At 41.2% G+C, this 15,168-nt stretch overlaps 1 protein-coding gene and 1 long non-coding RNA gene across 22 annotated transcripts in view, besides 1 other annotated feature; one reads left to right on the top strand and one right to left on the bottom strand.

Annotated features, from left to right (window-relative positions):
* The window catches only part of CPVL (carboxypeptidase vitellogenic like), a 200,816-nt gene extending 195,973 nt beyond the window's left edge, over nucleotides 1-4,843 (top strand). For 17 of the 21 annotated variants that reach the window (NM_001371268.1, NM_001371258.1, NM_001371256.1 and 14 more), the window contains one exon: nucleotides 3,597-4,843. In NM_001371268.1, the coding sequence (NP_001358197.1) occupies nucleotides 3,597-3,707 (111 nt within the window). In that variant the 3' untranslated portion in view covers nucleotides 3,708-4,843. The remainder of the gene's footprint in view (nucleotides 1-3,596) is intronic. The other 4 variants (NM_001348054.1, NM_001348052.1, NM_019029.3 and 1 more) reach the window with 2 other exon arrangements.
* CPVL-AS2 (CPVL antisense RNA 2) overlaps nucleotides 1-15,168 on the bottom strand; it is a 33,403-nt gene that overhangs the window by 13,891 nt on the left and 4,344 nt on the right. The window contains exon 2 of the long non-coding RNA NR_038965.1: nucleotides 3,228-3,314. This is a non-coding gene — a long non-coding RNA (CPVL antisense RNA 2). The remainder of the gene's footprint in view (nucleotides 1-3,227; nucleotides 3,315-15,168) is intronic.
* Nucleotides 12,769-13,268: an enhancer, noted in NCBI's record as "H3K4me1 hESC enhancer chr7:29025827-29026326 (GRCh37/hg19 assembly coordinates)". NCBI's record gives its function as "activates a minimal SCP1, AML or CMV promoter by ChIP-STARR-seq in naive H9 embryonic stem cells {active_cell/tissue: H9 hESC(naive)}" and the evidence as "EXISTENCE:reporter gene assay evidence [ECO:0000049][PMID:30033119]".

The raw sequence follows: 15,168 nt of genomic DNA, 5'->3' as shown, positions 1-15,168 counted from the left end.
AATCAAATTACCTTGATGTAAACAGAGAATTCCCTGGTTTGCCACAGAGTAGAAAAAAATTCTCAACAGTGGTTTTCAACAAGCAGTTGGAACAACAGCATCAGCATTGCTTTGGAATTGTTAGATATGCAAATTCTTAGGCCCTGCCCTGGACCTTCCGAATTGGAAAGTCTGGAGGTGATGCCTCACGATCTCTTTTAATGAGCTCAGGTATTTTTATGCACGTTCAAATTTGAGAGTCATTGTTTTGTTTTTTCGTTTGTTTTTGAGGTGGAGTCTCACTCTGTCGCCCAGGCTGGAGTGCAGTGGTGCCATCTTAGCTCACTGCAACCTCTGCCTCCCAGGTTCAAGTGATTCTCCTGCTTCAGCCTCCCCAGTAGTTGGGATTACAGGCGTGCATCACCATGCCTGGCTAATTTTTTTTTTTTTAATTTTTAGTAGAGGCAGGGTTTCGCCATGTTGGCCAGGCTCTTTCAAACTCCTGACCTCAAATGATCCGCCCACCTCAGCCTCCCAAAGTGTTGGGATTACAGGCATGAGCCACTGCACCCAGCCAAGAACCATTGTTTTAAACAACCTTTTTTAAACCAAGGTTTTTTATGAAAATGTAGGAACACCATGTTCTAGGGTAGTTTAGGTTCATATAAGCATATATACATATATATTCATTTATATTTAGAGATGGGATCTCCTTTTGTTGCCCAGGCTGGAGTGCAGTGGCTCAGTCAGCTCACTGTAGCCTCAAACTCCTGCAATCAAGCGATCCTCCTGATCTCAAGCAATCCTCCTGATATAGGCATTTTGATTCTGGATTTTCAATATAGATAAGTGTTGGAAGAATAACGAAAATGACCAATATTTACTGAAGACCATCCCAGGCCGGGCACTGTGCTAAGTATTCCAGGGACATTATTCCACTAACTCCTCACACAACTCACAACTACCCCACGAGGTAATACTTGTTTCCCAATTGTAAAGTAAAGGAACCTGAGGCTCAGTGAGGTTAAGTTCCTTGCCCAAGGTCACACAACGTGCAGTGCCTCTTGCCATGCTCCTGCACTCTGACTTCTGAGCCCAGGCTGTGAAGCACTGTGCTATCCTTTGTTTGTCCTTTGTTAGCTGCAGCACTGGTTCTGGGGGCAGGATGACCTTTAGCTCTTGGGTATTCAATTTATTGGTGTTCCGGACCATTGCTGCCAAACTCATTTCCAGTTGAAGCAGCTGGGTTTTGTCACACATATGACTTTGTTAAGTGTCCTCAGCTGAGCTGAAGCTGCACAGAAATCACTCATCAGATTCCTGCCAGGGCCAAAGATATGGATGAAAATCTGCAGGAAGAAATGTCTAGCCTGGGATTGCGGGGCGGCAAAAGTTTCCCTCTGGAGTCCTATGAAGGGGTTCTTGTCACACATGTTTACTTTCAGTTTGTGATAAAAAGTGGGCATGCTGGGTTTCCAGTTGCAAGCTTCTACACAAATGGTAGATGGGTTTCACAGTCATTGCAGTGAGGCACAAATGACCATTGATCAACTGCAGCAAAACACAAAAGTTTCACATTTGCATGTGAAAGAGTTAAGTCTGGTCCCACATCTGCAAATGGGATCTGCCTCCCTCACTGTAATATGTGAAATACAAAAATACAGAAAATTATGTTTATATCTGCAATAATTTTTTTCATCAATAAACCTCAGAGGGCTATTGAGAGGTGAATAAAAATGTTCCGTGACTAAGCTGCAAATTTCAGTTCAAAGATAAGGAATGATTGAGTAGAGGGTTTGATTAAAAACACCACACCGGTGTTTGCATCAGAAGTCAGGGTTCTAGCTAGTTATCTCACTTAACAATTGTGTGACTTGGACAAGCCACTGAATAATTCCAAATAGCTCAGTCATCTCAATGCTCATGTGAATGGTGCTCCCTGTAGTTGTTCAGTGCACAGCTTGTATAGCTGCGAGCTGCAAGGTAAATATCATCTAATAGTGTTAATCCTACTTACTGCACGTCAAGGTTGTAAGATGGAGGGTGTTGGGATATAGGGGCAGATTTTCAATATAATAAATGTACTATCCAAATATACTTTTTCTGCCTCAGTTTCCTTCAGATTGAGACAAGTAGAAGAACCCAGCCTCTTAGGAAGGGCCTTGTGAAGGTGACCTTTAATTGCTGATCGTGATTCTGCAGCTAGAAGTTACTGAAAGTGATGTCCTTTTTGCATACGTTTATTCACTTCATGCACTGGTACCTCCTGTCCATTCTCCACATATGGAACGAGACATCTCAGGCCAGGCTGACCTCTCCTGCATGTAACTTCCCAACACTCAGTGTCAGTCCTTGCCCTTTTGGCACTGAATCATGACAGCTTCCCGTTTCCCTCTACTTGGAATATTAGCTGACGCTAGAGGCTTAACGAGTACAGAGACCAGTCCCCTTTTGCTGATTGGATCTCATCATTAGAGATGTTTTAGGAATGCTTTATATCACCCAACAAGGGCTTGGGTTACGTAGGTGTCTGCATTTGTCAGAACTGGTGAGTCTACACTTAAGACTAGCGCATTTCATTGTATCTTAACTTGACTCAAAAGAAGAAAATCTGTAAACACATGTTGAACTCTGATGAATAATGTGATGCTGAAGTGTGTGGGGGAAGTGCACTACATGCCCATTTTACTTTGAGATGTGTCAAAAATATAAGATGGATTAGTGGATGGGTGTGGGATGCATAGAGGCACCCTTATGTGAGAAAGCAAGTAAAGTGAAAGTTCATGACTCAAAATCGTCACTATATGAATTGTTTTCGAATTTGCTATGTTTTAAAATGTTTTATAATCCAATATTAGGAAAAAAAAGAATGTTCTAACTCTATGCTGCTCAAAACATGACTTTCTTTCATTTCAAGTGTCAAGTTTTTTGTTTTGTTTTTTTTTTTTTTGTTTTTTGGTTTTTTTTTTTAAGAGATGGGGTCTCATTCTGTCAACCAGGCTGGAGTGCAGTGCATGTGGCATGATCCTAGCTCACTGCAGACTCCAACTCCTGGGTTCAGGTCATCTTCCTGCCTCAGTCAAGGATGTTTTTGGTTTTTTAATTTTTTTGAGAACCAAAATTTCCCCTTCATTACTGATAAAGGCTAAAATGGAAGGTATGGCTCAGTGTGAGGGACAATTGGGCTGGCTAACTGAAGGGTGGAATTAAGTAGACAATCCACCCCATTGCAGGCAGACCTCACATACCCCAGAAGTAGTGGGCTGGAGGTGGGCCTCACCAGGTAACACTTGCAGTGCAGCACTCTCAACTGCGGGGAGCAGGCAGATCACTCTCTAGAGGAAAAAGACAAGGAATAATTTTCAATTTTTACACTCATGAGAAAAGAATACAACTTTGCGTAAAATTAACTAAGCTTTAAAACTTTTCTACCTTAACATGCCTGTTACAAAAGCCATCAACAGCCAGATAGGCAGCTTGTCCAAAGGCATGCATTGGGAGAATATGTTCTGTATTTCATGTGAGTTTTAAATAGAGTTTAATCTGAATGAAAACTTTCCATGTATTTAGAATATCCATTTCTCTAAATTTCCGTTCTTTTACTTTTTCTTTTTAAGGTAATTATTCGAGGTGGAGGACATATTTTACCCTATGACCAGCCTCTGAGAGCTTTTGACATGATTAATCGATTCATTTATGGAAAAGGATGGGATCCTTATGTTGGATAAACTACCTTCCCAAAAGAGAACATCAGAGGTTTTCATTGCTGAAAAGAAAATCGTAAAAACAGAAAATGTCATAGGAATAAAAAAATTATCTTTTCATATCTGCAAGATTTTTTTCATCAATAAAAATTATCCTTGAAACAAGTGAGCTTTTGTTTTTGGGGGGAGATGTTTACTACAAAATTAACATGAGTACATGAGTAAGAATTACATTATTTAACTTAAAGGATGAAAGGTATGGATGATGTGACACTGAGACAAGATGTATAAATGAAATTTTAGGGTCTTGAATAGGAAGTTTTAATTTCTTCTAAGAGTAAGTGAAAAGTGCAGTTGTAACAAACAAAGCTGTAACATCTTTTTCTGCCAATAACAGAAGTTTGGCATGCCGTGAAGGTGTTTGGAAATATTATTGGATAAGAATAGCTCAATTATCCCAAATAAATGGATGAAGCTATAATAGTTTTGGGGAAAAGATTCTCAAATGTATAAAGTCTTAGAACAAAAGAATTCTTTGAAATAAAAATATTATATATAAAAGTAATGATGAGTCAATTCTTGATAAGCAGATGCTCTTATGCAGAGAACAAACTTAATCTTTGCCTTTTCATTTTCTTTTTCCTTCTTTGAGTTTGAGGTGTACACACTTCTGAAAGAGCCTGCAGGCTACATTAGTTATAAGAGCCATTTTAATTTGGGCTTCAAATTCTCTACTTCTTTTCCCCAAATAAAGAACAACCTAATTTTGTATCATTGTTAGAATATCAAAAAAAATTAAGATAAGCTGGCATCAATATATACATTTATAAATATACATTCATTAGCAGTTTTCTGACTAAAATGTCACATCCTGGCACATCTTTTCGATTTATGCATCATGTGCTCACATCTCTGAAATTCTACAAGACGTGTGGATTTTTCCACATCACTTCCTTCTCATATTACCCATCTATGAACTGGCTCACTGGAGAATTAAATTTAAAAAGTCAAAGCCTGTTCTTGCGGCAAATAGTTTATGGAGTTTATTCTTTTAATTTCTCATGTTGTGCCTGATTACGTTCAGGTTTGTGATCTTCCTTTTTAAATTGTTCATTGTACCCATGTCCTAGAAGTCATTAAATCAAATATTCTGATCAAAAGCAGATTTTAATTATTGCAGAGAATAAACTGGGACAGGGTAGGACGCAAGAAGTTTTTCATATAGCCCCATCTGCAAGTTAAATTAGCTGTATTTAGTCTCATAACTATGTACTGGAAAGGGCACTGACTGGCTGGGAGACCTGGGTTTAGTTTCATATGGATCACACATGCACTGGACGTTTTAGGAGAAGTCACTTCACCATACCAGCCTCCCAAAAACTCAAGGAAGGTAGCCAGAAGAGGAGACTTCTGAGGTTCTTTTGGGTTCACATGTCACTAGAGTAGTACCTATTTACAAGGGTACTATGAGATGATCCAGTTTATCCTCATTATTTCAAGAATTCCATGTTTGCAAATGGAGTCTACTTGCTAAAAAATGTATTTGTAACCCCAATATCAATACACTTGCTCTTTTGAGGTCATGTACAGAGTGGCAAAAAATTTCAGTTGCCCAACATATACATTCCCAGCTGGGGTCAAAGAAGGAGACGCTCTGCCTTCTTGTTTCAGCTTTCATACTGTAAAAAATCGTCTTTTTTTTTTTTTTTCTTATTAAGACGGAGTCTCGCTCTGTTGCCCAGGCTGGAGTGCAGTGGTGTGATCTCGGCTCACGGCAACCTCTGCTTCCCGGATTCAAGCAATTCTCTTGCCTCAGCCTCGCAAGTAGCTGGGATTACAGGTGCGCGCCACCAAGCCCAGCTAATTTTTATATTTTTGTAGAGATGGGGTTTTGCCATGTTGGTCAAGCTGGTCTTGAACTCCTGATCTCAGGTGATACTCCCACCTTGGCCTCCCAAAGTGCTGGGATTACAGGTGTGAACCACCACACCCAGCCCAATTGTCCTTTGCTAAGTCTGTTTAGTGCCACATTTTTTTCGCATTTTTGTGCTTTTTTTGTGGCTGATTTTGCTTTTTAAAATGGCCTCAAGCACGGTGCTGAAGTACTGACTAGTGTGCAAGAAGACTGTGAAGCGACTTACAGAGAAAATACAAGCAGGTATTTTGTTTTTTTCAGGCATGAGTTAAAGTGCTGTTGGCCCTGAGTTCCACGTTAATGAATCAACATTTTAAAGGTGACTAAGAAACACACTTAAGGTTATGTATTGATCAGGTGACAAGAATGTTGTGACCCACAAGCTTGAAGGAACCTAAACCTGTATTTGCCTTAGAAGCAATGGTTCAGAATTTGCTAATTCTGTCTGCATAGATGTTACAGAACATAGCTACAGTGGATAAAGAGAATTGATATCTTTCCAGAGCACTTAGCATAGGGAATAGCACAGGATAATGGCTCAATACATGGAAATTGTAGATGTTTTCATTTTTATCATCACCCTGACCCAGGTACTAGGCCAGTGGGGAGCGCTGAGGTGGCGGTGGGGGCAGAAGTTGGCAGACTTTCCAGGGGCAACCCTAGCCAACTCATTTGAGGATACAGTTCTATGAAGATTGAATCTGGCAAGTATTTTACTTTAGAAGAAGAAAGGAAAAGATTGAATCTGGCAAGTATTTTACTTTAGAAGAAAGGGAAACTAAAGAAAAACTAGTTTTTGGATTTAATTGTAGAGAGTCCTTTGTGTAGAGACTCTCCAAGTACAGTGCATGCCCTCCACAGATGTTCAAGACAATCCGTTACAGTCCAAGGAGAAAATACTAGAATGTCTGTCTATATTTGCTTCCTTTCAAAATGAGAACACAATTAGGCTTTCCTAGTATGTAATGCTGGATTCTCATGATGCCCTCCCTCAGTTCAGACATGAGACAGTCAGATGTCTTATGTGACTGCAATTGCTGTAGGTAGACCACATCTGCAAAGAGGGAGAGGCACATGGAGGAGGTCCACCGAAGCGTCTTCTCACGGTCCTGCGTCTAGTAGCGTATTGCCAATAATTGCAACTGACATTCATATAGGATGTTATCAATATGATTAGTTTCATAAAAACAAAGCCTTTCAAAGAGTAGGATGATTATAACACTGCAATTTGATGGCCAGTGGTCAAGGGGGACTGCTGTACCACACTGCTTATCTCATGGCAGTGCACTTAAAGGAGCTGTGGAACCTGAGGTTGAGTCCTGGATCCCTTCTTTGACAAAAAGACAAGCACTGCAGACGTGCTGTCATGGCAAGTGGCGATTGTTAGTATGTCGCCTAGCAGATACGTTTTTTAAAGTAAACACACAGTCCATCTTTTCAAGGTAGAAGTGATATTTTCACTTAGTGAAATTAATTAGTGAGAAAGTTAACTTCTTCTCAAAAGAAATTGAATCGATGGCAAGAGCCTTTTGAAAACAGATGTTTGGAAATGTTCCCATCTTACTATATGCACATTACAAAAACAAAACTAAAAAACCCTTAAAAGCAAAGAAAATTTCAACAATTGTCTTTGTGTAATAGATGAGACTGAAAAATGAGTTTTGGGAATTAGTGAAGCTCATCTGATGAGGCATTTCTTCTATTGGACCTACATACCTCTGTTAAGTGTCTTTTTCAGCTCTGATGGACTTTGAAACCAAGCATTAAAATAAACTGTATGTATAGCCAGACGTATGAACGACTATATCACAAAAGGGTAACCCAAGACTTTTTGAAAATGACAAGGCATATTCAACACATTGGTCCTATCGAAGATATTAACAGTAATATTTTAGAAAGCATTTTTTACCATTAAAAATCAAATACAATTTTTAAAAAGTATTTAAAATTTATCTTTATTTTATCCTTTTGCAGTTTCCACTCTGATTAAAATTTCATAATGTAAATATTGTTAGTACAGTAGTGGCATGATTACTTTATAAATGAAATAATTTTATATATGATATATTTATAATATAACATTTATAAGATATAATATATAAATCTAATTCTTATAATTATATATTATATGTTATATCATTATATATAATTATATAACATTTATAATGTATGAATATATAATTTTTATATATCTATATATAAATAAATATATAACAATATACTTATAATCTATTATATATTATATATAATTACTTATAGAGTATAATCATGCCACTGCTGTATTAATATTTACATTATGAAATTTTAATCAAAGTGGAATATATTATATATTAAATATATATTATATATGTATCTTCAGTAATTTTTTAATAAAGTTGACAGCAAAAAGATTTGGAGACCACTGTTTGAGATGACAGAAAGTCTAAAAGTAGCCTTAAACTTTGTTCCAATTTCGTTATGTTATTAAATAAAAAAACGCAAGGCATCTAACAATATATGATGCTTTCTTTTATATGAAAGAAAGAAAAGGAAGACACACACGCACACACACCCCTGAGTTTCCACAGCTAATGGCAGAGCCCATCAGGAATCAAAGTGGGTCTCTGTTCAACCCCATCCTCTTCCCATCAGGCACCCTGCTCCGGATCCCTCAGCTCTTCTCGCCTATCAGTGGGTAGGCATTAGGGTCTGTACTGCCATTATTAATGGGCTTTACTTTGAAAGTGGTGTAAACCAGACCCTTGGAAACTTTTTGATGCAGTATCTGCTCTGGAGACCCAAGAGGGGCTAATGTAAATTTGAATTGTGATTCTCTGGAAAGTACTAAGAGCTTTGAATTAATTATTGATTGATGTGAAGTCCCCAAGTTATCTTTTCTAATGCCACCAAAAATATGACAGGTAAGACCAGAAACCAAGGGCTAAGATCTTGTGGTGAGCTGCTTGACTTAAACTCTGATTTCCTGAGGAAAGTCTGGCGTTCCCTTTGTTTCTTCTTGTGAATAACAGCGCCCCCCGCCCCGCCAACTCTTACTGCTAATGATACATGGGCCTGGGCTGTGTCCATTTTGTGCCATGTAAGCCTCTGGCTCTAAGCTCAGAAACCATTTCATTCTCCATGCTGGGCCCCTGAGGGGTTGACCTCTGGTGGTCAGGGCCAGCTGCAGAGATGACTGGGAGTTGCCTGTTCAACTCCACCATCACACAGGAAGTGTGTGCCCTGGGGTGAAATATAGCTACCTGCACAGATGGGTTTACTTTTTCTTGCATATTGTAGCAGTTATTGTTATTAAAATTCTGAAGATTTAAAAAACATTCAGAAAACCAACCTGAAAGGGATTGATTTTGTTGCCTCTAAGACACCGACCCTAGGAATTAAAAGCAGACTGCTGTGATTTATATCTGCTCAAACCCAAGAAAAGACATCTGCTCAATCATTTTAAAGGGATTTTTGGCAACTTCAGGAGTATGACGCGGGCCGTCTGCATTCCCCTGGGTGCTGTGTGTGTCAGGACAGCAAGCCAGGGCTGCGGCTGCTGCTCACACAGATTCACAAGGAACTTCACTGCGTCTAGCCAGGTCTTTTGGGCAAATGTTAATCTTTTTCTTAAATCTTTAATTTTCAAATTGCAAAAGAAAGAGCTGTTCATTGCGAAAAACTCAAATGTAAAAGCTTCCTCTCACCAATCCCACACCACAGCCAGTGGCAGCCACTGAAAACTCATCTCATGCTGAGGAGGGAGGGTGGGCCACCTTGAACTCAGTGTCATCAGGACTGCACCCAATGGGGGACAGACAATTGCCCACCACCAAACAAAACAAAACAAAATAAACCCAGGGCATTGTCACTAGAAGAAAGGGAGCCTGGATGTTGCGCAGCCAGGAGCCAGAAAACATCCACCATATGCAGATATTAAAGCTCAGTAAAAACATTAAAGCCAGTCTCTACATTTTGACATGCAGTGGGAATACACACTGGTGATTTCCCTAATTTCCCAATGAATGTTCACAATCAAAATTCACATGTACACCTAGTAATGTTTGATGATACTTTAAATTTTCATACATGAGTCAAAGGGAGCAAAAGAAGTGCCTGAGGGACCTGCGAGTATGCGGGGATGTTGTGTGATAAGAATAGGAAATCTAGACACTCAGCACCAGGAACAGAAATTGCCCCAGACTCCTGCCTCAGTCACACTTCCATCTTACAGCAGGATGTGCCATGTTAATCTTCTTGAAGACGTGCTCTGGGTGCTGAAGATATGAGGACAAATCTATGCTCTGCCGCTGAGGTGCTCTAAATGGGGACAGATGCTTATGAAGGGAAGGCTGGTGACCACTGCATAAATAATCCCAGTGTGCCACCTACTTTAATAGATGAAGGTCCGAAGTGCTTTGAGAACAGAGGACAGAGGATGACTAATTACTCCAAACCAAGGAGTGGGGGTGAGACTGGAGACCTTCCAGGGGGAGAGAGTATCACTGGTACAGGCCTGGGCATCAGCATTACTGTGCTGGAGCCTGCTAAGCCTCCAAACACGCCAGTATCTGCCTTCTCTCCTCTTATTTTTGTCTTCCATCCCATGATGATTTAATTATTTTGTTGCAAAATCTGAATTTGCAAATGACTGCCCTAAACTTCTGTCATGGGAGAGTAGAAGGACTGATTCCCTTATTACACTGATTGGAAGAAACCCCTAATGGCCATGCTTTAGTTTTTCCATCTTGTCTCTGTAGAGCCAGGAAAGATCTAGAAGGCTGTTTCCCTGCAAGCCCATCCATCAAGTGGCCTTGGCGGCGTGTGAAATGGCATCTCCTTACTAAAATCCTCACACGTTGCACCGTAACATGCCAGAACATGCTGTCATTGACCAATTTCCCATCTCCCCTGGGAAGAGAAACATTCTTTAAGGAGGACATTTTGAAATGGCTCCATAGTGTGACTCACTGGAGGACAATGCCAAAGGCTTTGGGGCAAAAATAAACAAAAGTTAAAAAAAAAAAAAAAAAGTAGATTCTATCAAAAAAGGTTTGGAGTGATGTTGCCCTGGAAAATGGAAGCTGATCTTGGACTGGATGAAGGGTGGATTTTGTTTGCTCCAATGAGGTAGTTTCTTCAGGGTAAAATTCCACTAGAATGTGTCTTCCTTGTTAGGGCAGAGGAAAAGGAATCTCTAATCAGTCACGGTTCCCTTAAATTAGCTCCTCTGTCCCCGAAAAATGTTAATATTTGTTAGGCTAGAGCCTCAGAACAATTCCTTAAGAGTTCTAGTTTCTTAAGGAATGAGAAATGCAATTCTGTTTTGGCCTCATAAGTAAACCAAGGTCCATGTGGATTTGCTTCTAGATCACATTCTTCCCTCACTGGACAGTCAGAAGAGAAAGGTGCACCATCCCGGGAAGCATGCGATTCTGAGCCCCGGTTCCAAATTTTCTGCCATTTCCTACCCTTCAGTGGAACGTTTTTCTCTTCTTGGGCTGGATTAGAGTAAAAAAAAAGAGTTGATAGTCACATATTCAATGTAGAAGCATTAAAGGAAGAGAAAAACAATTCAGTAATCCTGTGTGATTAGGACATACTCAGTTACGTAAACTGAAACCAGGTGGCTTAAAACTACCAGTGCCAACAACTCCAATGGAGTTGTCTTTTAGTAAAGAAAATGCTAGTAAGGCTAAGAATGCAGAGAGGTTTGTGTTATTCTCCCCTACTTCTCACTCCAAACAAATCCTTAGATCCCCAACAGCAGGTACCATAAAATGAAAACAGAGATGAGAATATAGAGAGACAAGGAAGGTGTGGGAAGCCTTGGAAAAGACCAAAAGGAGGTGAAATGGGATGAGTTCTTGAACCACCAGCAGCAACGTTTGGTACCACCCCAGAAAGTGAGATGAATGTTAAGCTTGCCCCTTTCTCCCTAGCCCCAGGTGCAGGTGTAACCCCCACCTTTGAAGCCCAAGGTGCTGCTGGTCTTTGTGATGAGCCATTTCTCCCCCTCTGCCCAAAGCCACCAAGTGAAGAAAACAACTTGGCATTTGGAGTAGACAGCAGGTGATGACAAGCGTCTCTGGGGACAGAAGTTCGACAGCGGGAAACATACCATGAGAGCTGGCAATGACTGGTTGCTACGTTTTCATGTGTACCATGCTGAGGGATTCTAGCATCTTGATAAATTTACAAAACAGATAAATTGCTAATAAATGGCATAGCAATAAGAAAGAGAGAACTATCTACCAGAAATCAGAGAGTATAAAACATAATACATGCCTCAAACTAGATATGCGATTTAAAGGCTATTTCTTCTCACATCTGCCTGGACAGATTTTATTAAATCACCATAAAAGGATTCTGTATTTATGGGAGAGAACACTTGAGGTTGTACAGGTCTACACATTTGCTCCTCAGTAATTGACACCTTTTTTGTTCACTGGTGCAGCTGTTTCAAACCATGTCCACTCTCAAACTCCAAGATGACACAGTGTGGCTTCCCTTATCTCAGCGAATGGCCTTGTCTCCTACCTTACTGAGAAGATCAAAGCAACCAACACCATATCCCTCAATTTTCCTCTTTTACCACCACATACTCCCACAGCATCATGACCCTGTTCTCTTCCTATCACAGGGAAAGTCCTGCCTTCTCTTCTGAGCTCCCTGCCCATAGCTCCAGCTGTCCTGATGGAAACTCAGATTCAACATGACCAGCCTGTTCATCCTCCCGCAAACCAGCAGCTTCCCTTCGTTTTCCCTGGTCTGTGAGAACATCCACATTCTTACCATCAACAGCTTTCTCTTGTCCTTCTTTTATATTCACCCAGTGGCCAAAGTCTGTTTACTCTTCTTCAGCAGTATCTTTTGCAGCTCGTTCCTCCTTTTCCTTCCAGTTTCTAGATGATTGCACAACCTACTGAAAGGTCTCCCTGCTCTAGTCTTTCAACAGTCCCAGCCATTAATCCATCCTAGACAGCGTTGCTATTTCATTTTCTAACACAGCAGTCTAATCAACTCACTCTCTGACTCAATGGCTGCCAACTACTTAAGTTGATGTCAAAACACCCTGGGCTCTGAAGGCCTGCCACAAACTGACTCCAGCCTACTTTTTTTGGTTTATTTTCTCACTGCTCAAATGTGTCTAGTCAGATGAGATGATTTACCTTCATGCAAACACCACTTCTATTTTCTTTCTGCTCCTGCCTTTCTGTTCGGTGTGCTCTGTCAAATGAAATCCCGCCCAGCCTTTGAGACCCAGCTCAAAAGCATAAGAGGGCCAGTAAGCCTCCCTCCTTCCCTGTTCTCTTTACCCACTCCCTGCTTATAATCATGTTCTTCTGTGCATTCTCTGTCTCACTCCAAGAAAGCACGTTTCTGCCTTTAGTCAGAGTTACTGACGTTTTCCTTCTTCATTGCCCTTTTGAGCAGGTATAGCTGACCCGTGTACTTGCTTTAGGGAGGTGAGCGGCAGGATGAGATGCAGAAGGACCCTGGGAGCATTTCTGGCTTTTGTCTTCTAAAAAGCCAGAGTCCAAGGGGAGGATTGGGTTTGAGGAAACAGAATGGCTTGGAAAAACAGGCAAGAATTGTCAGACTAAAAGGTAATTCCCCTAGCTGAGGCAAGGAGCAAGTTCGGCAGGTTCTTCCTGGCAGGGGCCAGGTCTGGGCCAGAGCCGGGAGAGGAAGAGCTTCCAGCTGGAGGAGCTGGGGAGCGGGGGCCACAGGTACTGAGGTTTTCAGCCTTGCCCAGAAGCAGCAGAAGGCCGCCAGGCACGAAGGGACTTTGGGGACAGGCACAATGTGATGGCCTGATTGGCAGAGGACCCTCTGAAATTTTCCACTCTGCCAGCAGAGTGGGAATTCATAATTTTAAAAATATCATTGTAGAAAATAGAAGCCACATTTCTTATCACCTGCATTTGTGGATCGGGATTCATTCTCTATATATTCAAGTACACCTAATACAACTTTTCCCCTTGAGGAAGAGCACCTGACTTCAAGTCAACAAGACTTAGCATGCCACTGTTCTGCGTCGTGGAGATACAGCAATGAGCAGGATTAAAGACCCTTCCTCAAAGACAGTGCATTCCCGTGAGAGGTCAGTGTTCAACATGCATACATATCTACATGCATACAGAAAGACATATTGCTAAGTGCTATAATGAAAATCTCAGCAGGGTAAGGAGAGTAAAGCCTGATGGGAGGTGAGAGTGTGATCCACGGAGGGGCCAGGAAAGTCCTTCCTGACAGCTGATGTCTGAGCAGGGCTGGAGTGAAGGGCAGCCATGAATCTCACTTGTATTGGGCAGAGTCCATGACCGGCACTGAGGACCAGCAAGGGGCCCAGGCCCTGAGAAGAGAAGCTCAGCTACCCCAGGGAGAGCTTGGTGATTTCAGTGCCATAGAAGGTGGCAGCTCAAGGTAAAGCCTTGGGACTTGCTTCCTTTGCTTCCCCAGCAGAGTGCCAGGCACACAGAATGTGCTTAGAAAATACTGACTGAAAAAGGGAGGGACCAAATGTGGATATTTATTCCACACTGAGAAGTAAGACATAACACATAAAAATATAAATAAATACACAGAACATAAAAATGGCCAAAATGCCCATAGCCCAGATATAACCACAGTATTATTATTCCTCTAGTCTTTTATTGTTTGCAGATTCTATTTTTTCCACACCGGAGACAATACCATGTCCTGTTGTCTTCATTTAATCATACTGCAACTTTTAATGTCATCCTTTAACTCACTGAAATTCAGTTTCTCTCTAACTGGCTCCAACAACTGGGGCAAAGAGGTCATGAGGCAATTGACCCTTTCAAGGGTCACAGAGGGTGCTCAGTAGCCCTGAATTTTATAGAAAGGGAGACCCGTGGGCCACCAAACCCTTTGAAGACCAATATCCTGTGGCGGTGTGCTGGCCCACACGACCCCTCCTGGCCCCTGGCTGCAGGTGCCAGAGTCTGGTCTCTGGCCCAGGAACATCCTTGCTTCACAATTCTCAGGGATTTGCCATCATTAGCAAGATGGTGCCTGTGAGATTTTCCTCTCTCTGTTTGGGGTTGAAGTATTGGAACATTTCCTAGAGAGGCATTTTGTTCCTCTCAGGCCTCTGCTTTTACTGCTAGTGGCCGCCCCCAGCTGTTCCTAATTCTCTCTCTGGATGAATGACTCAGCTTGATTCAATGTCTACAACTTGTGGCTTCTTAAAGGAGCCAGACCACTTTGTAAAACAATGAAACAGAGCTCAAACCAAGTAAAATTACCTAAGAGTACAGCCATAAATTAAAATACATAAAATGTATTTATTTTCAATGTCCAAGATTACAACTCTTTGACTATGAAAATAAACATGTGCCTGGCTTTTAAAAAAAAAATCAGAAAGAACTTAATAGAAATCAGACAGCAAGTCTACACTCTTCTCTGATGCAGCCTCCTATTGTTCCATCTGCTTTGGGCATAGCTCTTTCTGGAGAAGCTGTGGGACCTGTTCTGAGGTGGCCTCTTAGCCCCAGGAGAAGTGGAAGGGGCATGTTGACAGCCAAAAGGGAGGGCTCTGTTAAGTGTTCTTGGAGTAGATGCAAA

Source organism: Homo sapiens, chromosome 7, assembly GCF_000001405.40.
Source record: "Homo sapiens chromosome 7, GRCh38.p14 Primary Assembly".
NCBI lineage: Eukaryota > Metazoa > Chordata > Mammalia > Primates > Hominidae > Homo > Homo sapiens.
Note: the sequence above shows the minus strand (reverse complement) of the source record. Positions and strands in the feature narration are given on the sequence as shown.